This window comes from Homo sapiens, chromosome 2, assembly GCF_000001405.40.
Source record: "Homo sapiens chromosome 2, GRCh38.p14 Primary Assembly".
Lineage (NCBI taxonomy): Eukaryota > Metazoa > Chordata > Mammalia > Primates > Hominidae > Homo > Homo sapiens.
The window spans coordinates 45,457,547-45,478,603 of NC_000002.12; the positions used below are offsets into that span (position 1 = coordinate 45,457,547).

General features: G+C 35.8%; 1 protein-coding gene across 8 annotated transcripts in view, besides 1 other annotated feature; it reads right to left on the reverse strand.

Moving 5' to 3' along the window:
* Window positions 1-21,057, reverse strand: part of SRBD1 (S1 RNA binding domain 1) — a 222,588-nt gene that overhangs the window by 68,867 nt on the left and 132,664 nt on the right. For 5 of the 8 annotated variants that reach the window (NM_018079.5, XM_011532946.3, XM_047444862.1 and 2 more), the window contains one exon: window positions 19,447-19,529. The exons of the other annotated variants lie outside the window; for them this stretch is intronic. In NM_018079.5, coding sequence (NP_060549.4) covers window positions 19,447-19,529 — 83 coding nt within the window. Of the gene's footprint in view, window positions 1-19,446; window positions 19,530-21,057 lie in introns of those variants that run through there. 8 annotated transcript variants of the gene reach the window in all.
* Window positions 8,422-8,932: an enhancer, noted in NCBI's record as "NANOG hESC enhancer chr2:45693107-45693617 (GRCh37/hg19 assembly coordinates)". NCBI's record gives its function as "activates a minimal SCP1, AML or CMV promoter by ChIP-STARR-seq in primed H9 embryonic stem cells {active_cell/tissue: H9 hESC(primed)}" and the evidence as "EXISTENCE:reporter gene assay evidence [ECO:0000049][PMID:30033119]".

The window sequence follows — 21,057 nt, forward strand, 5'->3', positions numbered from 1 at the left end:
GGTATAGCTAATATTTTAAGATAAAGAAACAAATCTTGCCTTGATACTAACTGCAATTAAATAGTTTAAAGTAATATAAGAAATGTCATTCTCACGGCGTATGTTAAAAAAATACCCCGACAAACACTTCATGTTCTGGTAAAAACCTAAATATTAACTGTCACTAGCCACCTGGTGAAATCACTGATAGTCTAATTCAGCTAACATTTGGGAGCTGTTGACTTCAAGAGACCAAGAAATTTGACACGTGCATTTAAACTAAAATATTTTCAAGGACTTATGCTTTTAGAAAAAAATGTAGGTGTAAACTTCAGATGAAAAACAGTACAAACACAATGCAAATGAGAATAGAAACTATACTCATACAAAATATGCTTTTCAAAATTTGACTTTTTACAAATTTTAAACTAAATTATTCCCTTTCCTAGTTACAGCTCATATCTCAAAAAGCACTTACTATTCACATATTCTCTTTTAAAATAAAAATTAATTTATGTAATGTCTTTGAGATCAAAGAGAAAATAATATATTCTAAAATCCATTATAATTTTAAACCTATCAAACCAAGGAGAACTTGTGATGTTACTTTGGAGTTTATGAAAATAAAAAATTTTGGCACTGTAGCTTTTAAGGGGATTTTTCTGAACTATCTCTGCAATGTCAAAAGATTAATTGAAGAGAGAAACTTTTCCATTCTGAGAGAAGCTGTGACCTGAGCGTGATTAGAAAACATTTGTTTTATTTTGAAGGGTAAAACTAAATGAAACAACAGAAGCCTCACCCTTTCTGGCTTGTTTTCCTAAAACACAGGATTACCTTTATTTCAAAATGGGCTTCACTCAGCATAAGCCAGACTGAAAGTAGTCTGTTTACAAAATGGCCTAAATTAAGTCTCTTTAGAGTAGGAGGTACATTCAGCTATTTTTCTGCTACTAAAGCTACCCAGAAGACTGAAACATCATCTTGGACCCTCTGACAACTTTATTTCCTTTCACACTTGGCTTCAAAATTAGAACAGTGTTTTAAGAAAAAAGACAAAGACAGAAACAAGCAACCATATCCTTCTTCATCAGAACAAAATCTGTCCTGTTATCCACATCAGTGCTGCCTTACTACATTTTTGAAAACAGAATGCTTTTCAGATTGGCAGTGGAGTCTACAAGAGAGGGAAGAGTTACACCAATACTTCCTTTTTAGAACACACACAAAACACCCTCTACATTCCCTTAAGTCTGAAATGAATTTCAGAAGTCTCTTCAGGTATTTTATTACAACTCACATTCATATTTCAGTAGAATGACTACAGGGGAATCACTAATTTTTTATGTAAACTATGACGTTTTGGCAAATATTATATGACCAACTATAAATCCACAAGTCTCAAATACTAAAGAGTTGGTAATTACATGATGAGAAACAGCTTGATTAGGGGAGAGGAAAGGCAGGCTGTCAACAAACAAACAGCTGTTTCTTATTGCCAACCGATAACCAGATCATGCATCCCAACAAACTACAGAGTTTGTTTCTGTTGTTGCTGCTGTGTTTGTTTTTAAGCATTCTACCCTCTTCCACTCCCACCTCCAAAATACTGAGTCAATTTAGATGTGAACCACAACAGAAGAATCAGATACACAAGGATAACAAGTAAAACACTATAGACTTACAAAAAATTCTGTAGGTAATAACTAACAGAAGTTTAAAGTGTACTTTCCAATTCAACTTTAAATGCCTATCTTTCCCTGTGCAACACGTCCTGTCATTACTATTTATAAGAGGCAGGCAATGGGCCTTCACTTCCTCATTCCTGGATTATGACCACAGCAACGCTGCCACTCTCTCTGATCCTTTGTTTTGGAAGCTTTCCCCATTGGCTGCTTCTGTCCTTCCTTTCAGCAGAAAGGAATGAACATGCTTATACCTGACAGGTGTGAACTAAATGACCTTGAGGGTCCCTTGTAACCTGAAATTAAATGATTCAGTGAATATTTGATAAGGTTAGCATATGAATAAACAACAGGAATAAACAGGACCTTAACATCAAAGGTTTAAACAAAGAACTACTAAAGTGAATGAAATTTTTTTGATTTCATGAAGTGAAAACACTTTCACATATGCACCTTGAGGCACTTCCATGTCTAATTTTTTTCCCTTTAACACTCCTTCAGAAAACATATCGGTATCCTTATCTTATTTTCCAAGAAGGTAAAATTACTTTCCCAAGGTGACATGACACATGAGTAGCTAAACCAAGGTCCATAGCTCACTTTGGGGTCCAGGGCTCTGTGTTCTTTCCACTAAACCACACTGAACAAGGATGGTGCCAGTGAAAATGTTTCTGAAATTTTAGTTTAAAGCAGGCTCCTGTCTATGTAAGATCTTTATCTCTCAGGGAAATTTTCACTAAACACACCCTGAATAACCCAACGGCAAGGATGGGCATAGGTCAATGAGCATAGTTATGTGCCCAAGGTATGACTAACCAAGTATTCTAATCTAGAGTCCAAATTTCCTTTTACAAACTTAATGATAAACATTAAGTTTGTAAATTTATCCACAAGAAAACACGTCCTGGCTCACTGCCAACTTCCATGTTCCATTTTATTCACAATCATGCCCTGATCATCTAGCTGACTGGGCTGGATGTCTTCTGCATTCTGCTGCCATCACTGGGTCAGTGTTCAGTTAATGCTAATTCTGGTAGCATGCCCGTAAATTTGTATTTTGAAAAACTAAAAAAAGTTGCTTAAATTTGTCAACACATATCCGACTAGGTTTCAAATCGTAAAAGAGGTTTGGATCACTTTTTTAAAAGGCTGGTTGTATTTCACACCATATGAGGGGGGTTCTGAATGAGGAACTAGGGAACAAACCACCTCTTCAAAAGGCAGCTCACAGAAGGTTGGAAGGGAGTCGAGGAAACAGGCACATAGCAAGCAGGCACAGAAGGAAATGCTGAGGAAGGCAGGGAAGAGCAAGGATACACTTGAAATTATGGCTTCTCTATTATCTATGTTTTAAAAATAACTTATGTTCTGCATTGGTTTGTGGTGGGCATTTAGAAGAGAGAAAGGAAGAGTAACAGACTTTTCAAAACCAACTCCCAAGAATAACTTCTTAAATCTCAACTTTATAAAAAGTAGCAAAACCATTATGAACACAAATTCTCTTTTAAAAATTTAAATGCTGGCTTACATAGTATCAAAGATAACTCTCTTGAAATGTCCAGGACATAGTTTAATTCTACTAGTGAAGACATCTGAAAGTTTGAGAGGCCCAACCAATGCCATTAAAACGAAGTTATGCCTACAATCCAATTTTAAAATGAAATTTCTACCTCAATCTGGGACTGTCCATGATCATTACTAATCACCACTATGGAAGCAGTTTCAAAGTAGATACAAAGTCACCAGGAATGACTGGTCATGATGACCGAATAACAACCCAACCAGGCGTGCCAGCGCTCCCTCCCAGTCTACCCTGTTTACAGAAACCACAGGCGTGGACCTCTCTCCTCTATAGCCTGTCTTTAAACTACACAAATAATGTATCTCCTGGACTTTGTCAACTCTCCTGGGGAAGTGTTATGAAGGAATGACACAATTTTTAGAGTAAATGTAGGGATCTGAAGAGAAATGTGGTGTGCCACTCCAAAGAAGCAGAGATAAAATATAAAACGGATTGTTATCCTTCCTTTCATGGAGACTTGTAATGTTCCAGATATAAAATACCTTAATTGTTGGCAGTTAAATGGCTTACTGATTTCCAAGTCTTCCTGTCTGTTAATGGTTGGTACTTGGCACATCTGGAAAATGACGGAGTCTTTCAAAAATACTGCTGGGAAGATGACCTGTTTTCACTCTCTCTCTAGGCAGGTTCACATCACCAGATGATGCTGGATATGGCTCCACTCCAAGGAAAACAACCTTTTCTTGGTCTTTCAATGGCTGTTTATGAGTATACAACAAGTGCTTTCTATATACTGCAAACTCGTTAGACAGACAAGTCCCTCTGTCAATCCCACTCTACAGTGCATATGCTTCTGTGTGGTACACATCCCCACCTTCTCCCATAACTGACGCCGCCCCTACTTTTAAACCTCAGAGATTCAACTGCCCCCCCCAACTTTTAAATCTCAGAGATTCTCTTACAAGATATTAATTTTCTTTTCCACTATGGATCTGCTTAAAAATGCATCCTACAAAAGGGAAGAACAGGTGCCTCATTTTCCTTGACTCTTATTTGACTTCAGATAGTTATCGTCATTCATTGAGAGCTTAGAATATTGACTTATTCTGTGGAGTCCTCTTCTGAGATAGATGTGGGAGATACTTGGAAGCTAAAAAGATGCTACTCAGTTCCCTAATGCCCTAACGTGTCGATCCTCCTCCCTTTTTTCTCTTCAGTTTGCTGATGAGAGCTGTTTAGTTCATTTACTAAGTTTTTATTTTCCCACAATAAAATGAAGAAAAGAAACAGAGATTAAAAATTGTACAAAAACATTACAGGAAAAAAAAAGGAATCATTTTGTAGATAAACTTCATGTTGTGGTGTTGAAAGTTAAGGTCCACAAATCAAAATGCAGTCATTTCTACAGAGCTAGGCTTTTTCACTGCACTCGCAGCGAATCACGCTGTGGTTAGTTGAAAGTGCTGTTCACATAATAAATTAACCACCTCATTTCCTTCATCACCAAAATATACATAGCGCCCTCATACAGATTTGTTTTAATAAAAGTAATAAAGCAAGCCCAGAGGTTATGGCTGTTATGACATAATCACACCTCTGAGACTTAAAAACACTCACTTGCACATCATGCCTCAAAAAGTCTTTGCAAGTTCCCTTCCAACAAAACCTAACTGCATTCATACCCTCTGGCCCCATGTATTCAAAATAAATAATGAAACAAAAGCCTTGTATATGTCAGAAAATTATCCCTTTCCATTAAGCATTTGAAAAGAATATACACTTTTTAATAATACAGTACAATAAACAGATTGGGTGCCCTGCTCTAGATTATTAAAGACAACACATCAGCAGAGTTAAAAGTACACTAAGAGGAGATCGAAACCATCCTGGCCAACATGGTGAAACCCCGTCTGTACTAAAAAAAAAAAAATACAAAAAAAAAAATTAGCCAGGCGTGGTGTCGGGCACCTGTAGTCCCAGCTACTTGGGAGGCTGAGGCAGGAGAATGGCGTGAACCTGGGAGGCAGAGCTTGCAGTGAGCTGAGATCGCGCCACTGCACTCCAGCCTGGGCAACAGAGCGAGACTGCATCTCAAAAAAAAAAGTACACTAAGAAGGCTGCTAACCTGCCTACTATCCCACCCAAAAATAGATTTTTTAAGGTTAGTTGTTCAAAACGACAACACATGCATTTCTGTGGACTGAAAAACAATTTTCATTCTACACGAATCCAGGATAAGTAACTTTTCTTACATGGTAATGATATTTAATTGTTGAGAATAACCCGGGGGGGGGGGGGGAAATCTCTCTTGTCAATATAATTTTCCCTCACTACAGACTTTTATCATTAGAATTCCTTTCCATGATCACCAGAAAGAAAGACAATGTAACACAACTGTCTATAGCATAAGATAGATTGGACGGAGAACTTTGCCATGAGTGAACCCATACCATAATTCAACGAGGCCACCCTTCCTGTCTCTGTACCACATTATAAAATCACTTTGCAGGCAGGGTTTATTTCCCACTTCAACTCTTATACCTTAGGCCTTCCTGCAGGATTATGCATTTAATGCATACTGTCCCTATAATAATGATGATGTCTTCCCCTTAAATTTAAAATGTAACATAATCTTACAAGTAATTACATTTGCCTGTGCTATTCTTAAAGATCATGATCAACTCACACTCCAACACACATATATAAAGGAATGAGTTAATCAACATTCCTGAAAAATAGCAAGTATCAGATATTCAGGATACAGTTTTGAAATTCTCATAAGTGGCCCCCCATAGTGCTTCCACATTTTATTTCTCTTCTCAATTGCTATAATCACCTAGCACAATCTTATATTTGGGTTCTCAACATTTTTTCTAATGTGAACATTATTATATTACATGGTTTTTTCCATGAGTAAAGTTAAACATTACATCCAAGATTGTTAGTGTGCCAAATGGTTATCCACATATAATTATATCCCAAAATTTAGCAAAGCAGTAATACCTTTATGAAGGATTAAACATTTTTGGAGTAATCTTATTCTACTATTTTTAGTCTACAAACTATGCATCCACACACAACCAATATATGCATCCACACATAACCAGTACACTAAAAACTCCCTTAGGGCTCTGTATCAAACAAAGATAAAATTACTAAGAACTTCCATAACTTACATTTTGATGAATAAGTTCACTTTAAAGGAAAAATTCTATTCCAATGAATCCCATCGCAACAAAGTTTTTCTTGGATAAAGATATTACACTTTACATTGTAAGTCCTAATTACTGATTTAGTCATAATCAAAGAACATTCCTTTATAAGTGCTACCTCTGATCTGTCCTGGTAAGGATTATTTCCACCGAGAACAGAATATGCCTTGCAGAGGGGGTAAAGAAATGGAGATGTATGCTAAATTAAAGAACTCCAGTTCTTTCATCCATAGCACTCCTTCTTCACTTTCCTTAGCCATTCTCACTTCAACTACATGGCCATTCTAATGCTCTCTGGCCCTAAACTACCAAACACCTTTCAAGCAGGTGCTCACATACAGAACTCCCACAGAAAGATCCAAGTCAAAAGAGAACAGAAAAGAGATGAGGTATGCAAGATAGCTCTCTCCTATCCTATTAGGTTTCAAGAAACTTTTGCTCGCCAATTCACAGAAAAACGATGTTCTAGGGTACCTTTTGAAAAGACATTTCACGTCCTCAGATCATTGGTTAGATGGCAAATATAATAAACAAGTAACAGCCCTCATAAAAGGTCAATTAATAAAGAGCTGTAAGTGTCACCTCCATACACTGAATTACACAAAGCATTCTATCACAAAGAAGGGAAAGAATGTGGCATTGGTTATTCTGGTCACTACCTCAGCTTTGAGACAGATTACATTTTGAATATGTTAACGAGGCCTTCACAAGGCCAGCCATTCACTATCAACTAAACCCAAGGGCTTGAAATTCACACAGGTATAAAACACTGAGACACAAAATTGGAGACTGGATCAGTGTTCCAGATCACAGAATGTGTAAATGAGACAGAATATTTTCAGGTAACTGAAGTCTGAACATTAAAGCTCTAAAAATGTATACAAAAGTATAAAAAGTAAGTTGTATGCCAAATACAACCTAATAAAATAAGAAAAAAAGGCTATTTATGAAATAATGAAGTGGTTTTACCGACATCTTTAAACATTTGTCATAACTATTCTCAATTAATTGAGTACCAATACTCTGTTAAAAAGAAACTGTCATGGTTGAGATTGTACACACACACACACACACACACACACACACACACACACACACACACACAGAGTCATCCCCTGGTATGGGGGATTTTTTCTAGGACTCCCTGCAGATACCCAAATCCATAGGTACTCAAGGCCCTGATATAAAACGGTGTAGTATTTGCATTTAACCTATGCTGCACAACCTCCTGTGTACTTTAAATCATCTCTAGATTACTTATAATACCTAATACGGTGTAAAGGCTATTTAAATAGTTGTTAAACTGTATGGTTTAGGCAACAATGACACGGAAAAAAAGTCTGTACATGTTCAGTACAGATGCAACTATCCTTTTTTTCCTCTCAATATTTTCAATCCATAATTAGTTGAATTTGGAAGCCCCAGATATGGAGGGCTGACTATATACACACATATACATATATGTGTGTATATATATATAAATGCACACACAGACACACGAATGTGACAGTCAAAATTCTGATGGGAAATGATCCAGACTGCAAGAAAACACCATGGTCCCTGTCTGGACAAAAAACTGAACAGATTCTTACCTTGAACATAAAGGACTTAACACTTTTAATGATCAAAGTATAAGACTGGAAGAAAACTAGAAAGGAAGACAATGATTTTCAACATATTTTCTTCAAAGGAGTTTCATTTTAAAAATATTATTTAACAGTTCAGGTTTAAAATTTTAAGTGAAAGGCTACACTTTTTAATGTAACCTTGATTTTTACAAGATTTCCAGGTGTTCTGAATGCATGTTACAGTGCATTACATTACAGTGCATTCAAAACACCTGGATCTAAGAAGCATTTGTGACCAGGCTACATTTTCTTGATTTTAAATGAACAAGAATTGTTTTAAAATTAAACACAAAAGACACATTTTCAGTTCTGATCCCACTTCAACAAAAATTTGGAGAGGCTGCAAAATTTTATGGTGTGTTTATAATAAAGTTTAAAAAATACAATAAATGGTCAACTATACCAATAATCTACCATGCATTCATTCAGAAATACTGAATATCTACCATGTGCCAGGTCCTGGGAGCTGAAGATACAAGAAGTGGAAACAGCCTACCCTCATGTAAGGGCTTTTATTGCACTAGAAGAGGAACACAGTAAGCAAATAAATACTGTGATTTCAGACACTTAACACTAGCTGTTCTTTTGTGTGTGTTGAGGGAGCAGTTAGCAGGGAGTAGGTTCCTGCTTCACAGAGAAGATAAGAAATGTAGGGGAACAACTCCTCACAGTCCTGCTATCTTCCATCTCTTGCCGGGCACCTACTACCCCACAGGAGTCTCTCTGGAGCTCCTCTCCATTTTCTTCCTTAGGCTATTCCTGGAGGCATCCTGTGGATGCCATCTCCTCAGGCAACCAGCTGCCTCCCTCTTCAGCATATTCAACTTCTCACTCTCCACTTCTCCCTCCTCCCAGTGACATTCAACACATTCAAATCCTGACCTCCTTAAATAACTCTCTTCCTTAAACATTTGTATACACTTGTCTCTCAAATGCTTACACTTCATTCAGTCCTGGATTTAATTCTTTCAGACTTCTGCCTCCACCACTCCAGTGAAATTATTTTTATGGTAATCATCAATATTTTAAATGAGTACGTTCACTTTAAAGGAAAATTTCTTTAAAGGAAACATTTAAAATTAAACACAAAAGACACATTTTCAGTTCTGTTCCTATTTCATCTTGGTTGTGTTTCACAATACTGATTTTTGCTTCTTCAAACTCTCACCCTTAGATACTGGCATGTCCTAATTTTCCTCCTACATTACATACACTGCAATGTGCATTCAAAACACCTAGAAATCTTGTTAAAATCAGATTCTGATTCAACAGGCCTGAGGGAGGGCCCAGGAGACTTTCAGCAGGGTCTCTTGTTAATCAAAACAGACCAGCAGCACAGTTATCACCTGAGTGCTTCCTAGAAACACAGACTGTCATTGCTCACTCCAGGTTAACTGAATCAGAGTTTGCATCTTTAACAAAGGGATTTTATATGCATAGTCAAGTTTGAGGAGCATTAGAGACCAGTGGTTCTCAAACCCAGGCCAATAAAACACAGACTACAGGGTCCAATCCCCCTGAATTTCTGATCCTACAGGTCTGGGAAGCAAGTGAAAGAATGCACATTTCTAGCATATTGTCAGATGATATTGATGCTGCTAGTCTACTGACTGTATTTTCAGAACTAGTGATTCTCCGCCCTGGTTGTACATTTGAATTACATGTGAATTTTAAGAAGCTTGTTGGCATGTGGGGCCCACCCCCAGACCAATTAAACTACAAACTCTGGAGATGTAGCCTAGGTATTTTTAAAAACTCCCCTGCATAATCTTAAGGTTTCTCATTTAAATAATTTAAGAGTGAGGGAAGCAGGTAGTGGCGAAAAGAAAATAGTATACGATAAATGCTAGTTAAATGACAGTACCATTACTGTAACATATGATACCATAATTCCTTAAACATCTGCTCTACCCAACTCTGCCCTGTATATAAGCACTAGAAATTTGGCAGTCTACAGGTTTGTCGTAGGCCACATCTGTCTAAAATGACCATGGGGGAAAAATAATTATTTAATTCCTAAAATTCACAGAAGAAAAACCTGCATTTATGAGATAAGATATTTTTTAAGATAGTGTCAAAACTGTGCCTTACAAAGCATTTGACTTCGTGCAACATTAGGGGCTTGAGAAAGATTTCTAAGAATATTATGAAGGGAAAGGTAACATATAATATGAAATGTATATTTAAATTTTCACTAACAATGAAAATAGCTTACCTTTTTCTGATTATAAGTAAATTCTCATTGTAAAACACACATGTACACACACACTCATCAATATATAGGGAAGACACTAAAACCAACTGAAAGCCAAAGTTCCCGAGTTAAAGCATCTGTAGCATTTGACCAAGCTTTCCTGCATCTTGTTAAAAAATTATGAAATATTTAACAAAAGTTACAGAGTATAAGCAACACCAACCAGTTTAAGAAATAAGATATTATAAATATGATTGAAACTCCTGGTGTACCTCTCCCAGTTCCCATTTTTCTCTCGTTCCATGCCCCATCCAAACTATCATCTTAAATTCTGCGCTTATTTTTATAATCTTACTATATATAGGTATTCATAAATCCTATATATTTCATATTTTTAAATTTTATATCAGCCCTATAATACTGTACATATTCTGCAACTTACTTTCTCGCTTAACATTACATCTTATGAGGTTTCTCCATATTAATCTAGCATTTCTGAGTCATTTTCACTGCTCTATCTGTTCTTTCACAGTCTTGACTTTACTAGTGTATCTTTCCAGTTTCCAGATGATGAGCACAGTATTTCCAAATTTTCACTACTATAAATATTGCTTCAATGAACTTTTTTTTTTTTTTTTTGACACAGGGTCTCACTCTGTTGCCCTGGCTGGAGTGCAGTGGCATAATCACAACACAATGCAGCCTTTATCTTCCGGGCCCAAGTGATCCTTTCACCTCAGCCTCCCCAGTAGCTGGGACTACATGTGTGCACCACCATGCTCAGCTAATTGTTTTACTTTTTTGTAGAGATGACGTCTCACTATGTCACTCAGGCTGTCTCAAACTCCTGGGCTCAAGCAATCCTCCTACCTCGGCCTCCCAAAGTGTTGGGATTACAGGTGTGAGCCACCGTGCCCAGTCTCAATGAATTTATTGTGCATGTCTTCTTAGGTTCATTTTAGAGAATTTTTCTAGGCTATATACATTCTGCAACAGAATTGCTGAGTTGAAGAGAATTCTCATCTCCAGCTCTGTTAACTTCCAGTGCTCTCCAAAGTGGTGGTACCAATTTATACTGCTATAAATAATGTACAAGATTCCAAGTGTTCCACATGCTTGCTAACATCTGAATTATCAGACTAATTTTTGACAGCCTGAAGGGTTTATGGCTTTAGCATGCATTTCCTCCATTCATGGTAAGAGAGAGAAATTTTTTCATAGCTTTATTATTCTTTTGTATCTCCTCTTCTGTGAACTGCCTGTTCATAGCCTTTGCCTGTTTTTCTCTGGAATTGTCTTTTCATGTCTTGATTTGCAAGAGACCTTTACATATTCTGTATCATTTATAGTTTATGTGTTGTAAATATAATACCTTCTCCCTGTCTATGGATGGTCTATATATTGTTTTCTGACTGAGAGATGTTTTAGATTCTAATGCAGTAGAATTTACTAATCTTTTCTTTCATGATAGTATTTTTAATGTTATATATAATTTTTTAAATGATCATATAATTATTAGTTTTAAACACTGAAAGTAACTTAAAGTTTTAGAAACTGTAACAGTGATTTCTGTGCTAACACGAAAACTAGAAGGTGAACTTGAAACTGAAATGGATCTAGTTTCACTGCCAAGGTCAATGACATACACAGAGTAAGCAAACAAAAGATAAAGGAAATTAGATATGTCATTTTAATTTAAGGCATTATTGGTAAAAGGTTCTTCAAATCATGCTATCATTTCACATTTCTTTTAAAGATAAGTAATGGTGTTACACTAGGTTATGTGTGTGTATACATGGCTTATTACATTGTTGGTGATTTCCAGGAACTTGAGAAAACTAAAGCTAGTATTTCAACATAGGAAGCATAATTCATCCTGAAGGGAAAAATACCCAGAAAAGAAATTTTAAAACTTGAAATTTAAGGAATAAATAGCAAATTCTAACACATGAGTTGGGTTCATACACCTAGTCAAGGTCAATTACTTGTTTTCCTTCAGTTAGGTCTCTGCTTTGTCACAAGTGAATGAAATATCTGAATTGCAAGGCTAAGTCTGAATTTCACTCATAATACCCTGTAAAGCAAAGATTCAGTACAGCCCATATCCTGGGCCTTAGAGTCAAGGGACAACATTGCAAAACCATTTTGGCAGAGAATTCACCTGTGTAAATAATGTCTCAGTTTTAGAACAATTTCCTCTGTTTCACCTTTGTGTTTTCTCTATTTCAAAATACTGCTTTTGTGTATGGGGCAAAAATCCAAACAAAAGTCACCTAGGTGACCGGGCATGGGACAGACTCTTTTCTGTATCCCACTTTACTATGATAATTAAGGAATTAAAATGTTTTAAAAGATTTGAGCAAACACTGTAGAACAGGCAAGAAACCTTACTTTATTTAGACCTAAACTAAAACTCCATTTAATAATCTCTACATGTTGACTATAAAACAGTTTGTTTTTTATTTTTTTGATTTGTTTTTACATAGAATTGATTCCACAGAGCAGGAATGAAAGAAAATGCAAATTCCCACCTTTGAGGTTTTACTGTGAAAAATTTCCGCTGGGAAGATGATTTTCCTTTTACAGTAATTATTCATTATCCACAATAATGAAGAATAAAGATGGCCTGGATATAGAATCCAATAACAGTTCCAAAAACTTATTTTGGCCAACCATTTCATTCTCTATCATCACCAAATGATCTAACAGAGAGGCACAAAGGAGGAAAGAGCACTGTTCTGAGTCTTTCCTACTTTACTGTGTGTGTTCATTACCAAATGGAGGTGTTAATGAGCATGAAAGTACCGAAAACACAGTCCAAAGAAGAAAAAATTATCAAGTAAATCCAATGTATTTAAGTTGAGCTTTCAGGATATGACAAGGCCAAGCTAAACCACCATTCCCCACGTCCCAGTGAACTCAACAGAGCCAAACCTGCATCATCCTGCTCTCACTCTGGAGTGTTTTCTTGGGAGTAACATCAAGTCACTTTCCAGCAAAGTCTTTAGGGGTCAGTTAGGGATATGTTGTCATTTGACCACACTGGCTGCCTCTCTCTCCAGAAATAATGACAGGCATGTGTTTTTAAAATCACCTCTCCCCATCTCCTAAGACAAGGATTGGAACGCTGCCTTTAGCATTTTAGCTGTTATTAAACCAAAAGTATTTTAGTTTCTATTGAAATAATATTATAGCTTCTATTATTTCATCTATTTAACATTCTCTCTTTGAACAGCTTTCATTTTTTAAACAGCAATGTTTGTCCATCTACTCATATCTTAAATCAAAATGAAAATAAGTATTAAGTTTATACTGAAAGCACTTAGAAGTCCAGACTAAAAATAAATTCAGTCCCACTCTGATTGTAAGGGAAATCTATTAATGGCTATACATTTTACAACAAATTTTTCCTAATACATATTCACTATAGGGAGTTTGAAAATCAAAAAGTGAAAAAAAATCACATCAACAAGTATCAGTCACCTGCTTAGTTTTTTTTCTTCAATGTAAACACATGCCTACATTTTTAAAACACAAATTGTTTTTATTCTAGAGCAACAACTTTGTTGAAATTTTAAAATACTACAAGAACAATTTCTCACATTATTAAATCTTCCTTGAAAGCCTGTTTAAATAGTTGTATATTTCAACTCATACTATAATTTTAAAAACTATTTTGCTATTGTAGTTGCTTCTAATATTTTGCTATTACAGTAAACTTGTGTATGAATCTTAACAGCAGTTCTTATTGTCTTAGAACTAGCTAAAGGGAGAACTAAAAGAAATGCATTTTTACAAGTGCATTTTAATAGGTATTAACTATTTGCTAGAAATAGTAATTTAGACTTCTACCAGCAGTGTATATAAAATGTTCACCTCACTGTATCCTTCTGACTTGCACAGATATTTTCATCTTATTACAACTTTACTTAATTGTTAGGTTGAAATAATAACACCCTCTAAAATTTGGGTTTCTTTGATAGAGAGAAATTTGTTTCTTCCACAGTAAATGGTATGTAGTGGCTCTTTACATATTTTATGTAAATGTTTTATATAAACCAACTATAAATGTATATAAATCAAGAATAAAACAAAACCTTAATAATATGCAGTTATCACATATACATATATATTTGTGGCAAATAATTTTCCTAATTCATGACATGGCTTTAAAATTATGTGTTAATAAATGACCCAGCAAATCCATTCTGAGGTATACATCCAAGAGAAATGAAAACATACATAAAAACTTGAACAAAAATGTTCACAGCAGCATTATTTATAATACTTGAAAGGTATAAATAATCCAAAAGCCTACCAACTGATGAATGAACAAAATATCTCACACACCCACACCCACACATACACACACTGGAATACTACTTAGCCATAAAGAAGAATGAAGTACTGATACATGCTGCAATGCAGACCACCTCTGAAAACATTATAAGTGAAAGAGGTCAATCATAAAAACCCACATATTGTATGATTCCATGTATATGAAGTATCTAGAGGAAAATAGATTAGTGTTGTCTGGGGCTGGTAAAGAAAGGACAACGGAGAATGACTGCTAATGAATGCGTTTCTTTTTGGGGTGATAAAAATGTTCTATTTTCACAACTCCATGACTATACTAAAAAAATCACTGACTTGTACATTTTAAATCAATGAATTGTATGATGTGCAATTATGAACCAATAAAGCTGGGTTTGTCTTTTTAAGAGATGGGGGGGTCTCACTATGTCATCCAGGCTGGAGTGCAGTGGCTATGCAAAGGCATGATCATTGCTCACTATAGCCTTAAACTCCTGGGCTCAAATGATCTCCTGCCTCAGTGTTCTGAGTAGCTGAGGCCAGGTGCGTGTCACCATGCCTAGCTTCAAGCTGTTTTTAAAATGTATATATTAATATGGTATGGTCTACTAAGACTCCTGCAAAAACAGTGAATTTGTCTCATCTAATTTTTAGAAAAGTTTGTAATATGCATATTTCTTGAAGCTATGCTGTTAGGTAACAGATTGCTCAGGGCAATCATACTTTCTTGGAAGACTGTTATTAACATGAAATATCTTTCTTTTTCCTATTTCATGATTTTGCCTTAAGTTCTATTTTGTCTAAGGTCAACATTGCTATGGCTGTCTTTTTCATTTATGTGGAATATTTTAATCCAAATCTTTAATATCAAGGTTGTTTTTTTTTTCTTTAGGAGTGTCTCTTGCACATATGTAAGTTAGAGCTGTACTTTATTTTTTAAAGTCTTAAGTTCTATTAATAGGGGAAGTTAGCCCATTCACTTTTAAATACCTATTACTTATTCCTATCTCCTTATATTTTGTTGTTTATTTCCTATACTTTCTTATTTTCTTTTCTCTACCTTTGGATGAAATTATAAACTTTTTACATTTTACTCTCATGATTTATATTAAATATCTTATTGGTGGTTGTTCTTCATATGTTTCAGGTTATATTTTTAATCAAATTCTAGAGTTAATTTATATCTGAATCTTTTTCCTGAAAAAGAATCTTAATACTTTTTATCATTTCTTTTTCTTCTACTCTCCCATGTTGAACTGATCTGATCTAGACTTAAATATTTAAAGATTAACATTATAGATTTTAAAAACTATCAGGCTCAACTATACATTTTACTGTGTGTACATGTTTCCCATGTTATGTCTTTCCCTTCTTTGGACACTCCCCTGCTTTTTGGAAGGGAGTACTTCCATCAATTCTTTCAAAGAAGGTGTGAAACAATCAGAGAAGGTTCAAAATTGTTTTTATTTTCCACTCACACTAAATTGATGGTTTGCCTGATTTAGAATTATGAGTTCAAAATGTTTTTTCCCACAACTCCACAACTACTGCATTCTATCTTCTATCATTTATTTTTTATCAATAATAGGACTGTTGTCAATCTCATTCTTTCCTTTGCAGATAAACTGTTTGCTCTCTGAATACTTTTAGTCAGTTCCTCTTTATCACGTATTCTGAAATTTCATAAGCAGGAATTTAGTGTTGGCCTTTTGTTATTCTTTACTTCTGCATTCATAAGGTGTTTTCAGAAGACTTGTCTGTCTTCAGTTCAGGAAAATTTCCTATTACTTCTGTGATTATAACTCCATACTATTTCAATTTTACATCAGATGAACGCTGAAGGTTTAGAACGTCCTCTGTATCATGTGACTTTTTGTTCATGCTTTCCACCTTTTTCAGTTCAAAACTGCATTCTGAAGGAATTCAACCTTCCAATTCATTAATTTGCTTTTAACCGTGTCCACTCTATTTAGTCCAATTATGCATTTTAATCCTGATAATTACATTCTTAAATTCTAAGATATTTGATTGGTTTGAATTCATTTTAATACATATTTCTTTATAAATGCAATAATCTCTTTTCTCTCTATGAATCTTACTTTTACTTATTTCAAAGTCTCTGTTACTTATTCATTGTCTCACTCGCTATTACTTTTTGTTTATTAAGTTTGGTGCCTCATTTGTCTACCATAGGTTTTCCTCAAATGTTTAATCATTCTTGGTAGTGAGATCGTTTCAGAGTCCCTAACTGTCTGTCTGTGTATGCTGTTTCTGTTTACTATTCCCCACCTCCGGTGATAATGTGGGAAATGTGGGACATCATGCCAGGTGTCATGTACATGGCAGGAATTTATCTTCTCAGGATGAGGCTCCTTGAGCTTCCTGACATTCGAAGGTCTCTTGAGCTATCTCCCAGCCTCTCTGGCCTATGTTAAGGTCAGTGCTTCAGCTTGGATTCACAGTATACTGGAGGAGGAGGTCAGTACAGGCCTAGCTTTGCTATATGTATCTTCTTATCTAATACTTCAGACCCTCTCCCTACTATTTGAATCTGACTAGTTTGGCTCTACCGGGAACTGCACCTACCTCAAGAACATAATGATACACAATGATCTGTATATGTTTTGAACTGTGACTCCACCAGGTTTTATTTCTCCATGAGTGTGATTCCCCATGCTTAGTATCTGTCAGGAATTCCTGAGATTTCCATCCACTAATGGGAGGGACCCTTTCTTGTTTTCCCATGCTGTTATCAATTTATTCAAATAAATATGTATTTATATAGGTACACATGTACACCTTTTCTGTCAACTCATGGAATTAGGAGTTCTGAATATGCAGCTGATGATGGTAGTGTAATTAAAGAATATCATTAATTCAGCCCACCATCTTGATGACGTTCTTAGTTTCATTATTTGCTGAACAGTGAGTAGTCCAATGTTAATATGGCTATTTTTTTAAATCTCAGACTCATATATCCAACTCCTACTTGACATCTTTCCTTGGATTTCTTATAGGCATCTCAAACTTAACATGTCTAAAACTGAATTACTGATCTTAACCCACCAAACCTGCTCTACTCAAGCATCATCCACATATCAGAACCCTTGGAGCAAGTTCTTCATAATTCCTTTCCCTCACTTATCACCACACAAACCCTGCAAAACAGACTTGACTTCTTTCCATCTTTACTGCCATTAACTTTGTCCAAGCACTATTATTTCTCACCTGGGCTAGTACAAGAGCCTCCTAGCTGTTCTATTGCTTCTCTTCTTCCTAAGTCACTCTTCCCAGATCAGCCAGAGCCAATGCTTAAAAATATAAATCAGATTGTGCCACCCCCCCTTGCTTAAACCTCTTCTATTACTTCTCACTGTTGTTAAAATGAATCCCAAAGTCTTTCACATTAAACGTTATCTCTGAATCCCAATCTGGAGGTTAGGTCTCCACTATTTACTTAAAGATCTCTTTGAAGTCAATAGCTTATTAGCCTGCCCAGGTTTCATAAATTTGGAATCTTCTCTTTATTCCACTATCTTGCCAAGATGCTCCATAACTTTATCTTGAATGAATATAATTCCTCTTCACTATAATGCCTATATCACAAAACTGTTATAGCTGTACTTTTTCTTTCTCGAGATGGAGTCTCGCTCTGTCACCCAGGCTAGAGTGCAGTGGCACAATCTTGGCTCACTGCAACCTCTGCCTCCTGGGTTCAAGCGATTGTCCTGCCTCAGCCTTCCACGTAGTTGGGACTACAGGTGCGCGCCACCATACCCGGCTAATTTTTGTATTCTTAGTAGAGACAGAGTTTTGTCATGTTGGCCAGGCTGGTCTCAAACTCTTGACCTCAAGTGATCCACCTGCCTTGGCCTCCCAAAGTGCTGGGATTACAGGCATGAGCCACTGCACCTAGCCAGTTGTACTCTTTAGATACCAGTCATTTCTATCTACTTGTAGCTAGATCAGTCCCTTTAGCAACTATCTTTCTGAAATGAGTAAGTCCAGTTAAAGGTCTGAATGCCTTAGTCCAACTTGCTATAAAATGGAAATATTCCCAGTTGAATCTCAATATATGACAGGTTAATCTAAGCTTTGCTACCATGAGATCTTGGGTAAATGTCTTAAGTACTCCAGGACACTGCCTCTTTTTCTATCAAATGAGGGGGGTAGGGTTACATGAATTCTAAGGTGTCTTCCATATCTAGTAGTCACAGATTCCATGACATAATATATTTCTTTAGAAAAAGTGTAGTATAGTACCTATCATTCAAATCCCATAAAAATTATACAGAAGGAAATACTCTATTTCACATTTAATAGCTTTTGACAAGGAGGAAAACAATGTGACCCAAGCCTTCTGGAGACAACTTCCCCACATACCATTTTGCTATCACCATAAATTCACTCTGCCAAGGTTTAGTGCTGTCTTGAATTGCCCAATGAACACATACAACCTCAAGAATTAAAAATACAGTAACAACAAAAACGAGTACTATTATTACCTACCACTTCTCTAATCACACATAAGATCTACTTATCTACTGTGAAGATCAAGTTCAATGCATGATATCACTATTGTAATTATTTTAGATAGCACCACCATTTTTATAATAATGTTAAAAGAAGAGGCTCTCTCTCCAAATTAGTTATTAGTTTCATCTAGTGTTTTCATAGTCTTTCAATCTGACCACAGTCAATTCTAAGTCTTAATCAAAATCATTAACACGAGAACAACAATGACAAAAATAATTCCCTCCTTCCCTGATGACTTAAAACTCCTACTTTCCACAAACTGTATAACCTTGAAAATGGGAATCTACTCCCACAGACACTTAATTACTATCCCAGGTTTGAGTACTGCTCCTTGTATTGATGGATTTCATAAATTAAATGATCCACATAGCTTTACCTGATACATTCCAACTCCAATGTGCTTTGGCTCAATTTTCACTAGCTCAGCTAATGGATCTTGTACACGCCTTGCTATGGAAACTGAAAAAACAGAATCAGAAAACAAGTATGACTTAATGTGAAAAGCAGTACCTAATAATTACTTACATTAGTTTCTCATAATGTAAGTACTTAATCCTGTCCCTCCTCATCATCCCTCTAAAAAAGGCCAACAATTTAAATTTCAAAGTTCTCTTTTTTCCCCACACAAAAAGTAAATGCAAAATTTCATGAATTATGTCATCAGAACTCCTAGGCATTCTTGAACACAAAGTAGTTTGACAGGATTATAGATTTGGAAAAACAAATAAAACGTTTACTCCCTATACTTACATGATTACCTATTCATTCTTCATTCTTTACGTAAAGCATAATAGGATACCTCATGCTTCACAGAGGAAGCAAAACCTTGTTTTAAATAATTCTGCATTATTACAAATATATTTATATGTCAAATATGCTTATTAGAACTCGATCCCCCAAATAATGAACAAGTGACGGAATTACCTCCTTTTTTAAAGTTCCTTTTTTTTAGAGATAGGGTCTCACTCTGTTACCCTGGATAGAGTGCAGTGGTGCCATCTCAGTTCACTGCAGCTTTGAACTCCTGGGCTCAAGCAATCCTCTTGCCTCACCCCTCCAAAGTGTTGGGATTAGAGGCATGAGCTACTGCGCCCAGCAGAATCATATCTTAATGCAACCAGAGATCAAGTTACTTGGCTAATGAATATACTCATGTGGCCTTGAATATGACTGCAAGATTGCCCTGGCAAGTGATCCTCCTTCTGTCCCAACTGCTTGTCTCTTAACACACCATAGTTCTAATTACATCCCTTTCTTGACCATTACAATCCATGCTCAAGAAACTTTAGAGTTAATTTCAAACATTCCTTTAACTGTGTCATGATTTTACTTGTTCGTCATTTATTGTCCTTTTTTTTTTTACCAAATATCAATAAAAATTCACATCTAATTTCGTTTATAAGATAGATTTAGCTAGAAAAAAAAGATAACTATTACAACTCTTATGAATAGTTCTAAAGGCAGCCTCCCTCTCCAGTAGCATATTTACACTGAGTCTTTATATATATATGAACTGCTTCCATTTTCAAAACACATGGAAGCTAATCAGTGTCACCTTCTCATACAGGTTAGATGAAATATAAATTCATTAAGTGAAAATATTAAGACCATCAAAGAAAATCCTATGCCTGTTTCCATGTTAAGCTGTTCAAGGTCTGGAAACAAAAGTCATCTCTTGCAAGTGACTCTCAGATTCTCCAGTCGCTGATTTGTACCACTTCTCTAATCAGACATAAGATCTACTTATCTACTGTGAACATCAAGTTCAACACATGATCATTCAAGTCTTTTTCACATCCTTTATTACTACATCTAATATATAGTGACAATAGCTCCTTGCAAAGCAAGCTTAGAGAACGCTGAGCTGGCGTTACACAATCTATTTTTCTCCCAGAAGAGACGGGGATTCCAAGGCCTTCACATAAACCTTTATTATTTAAAGAAATCAATCACAAAAGGTTAGTTAGTGCAAGCATTGCAGGTGATA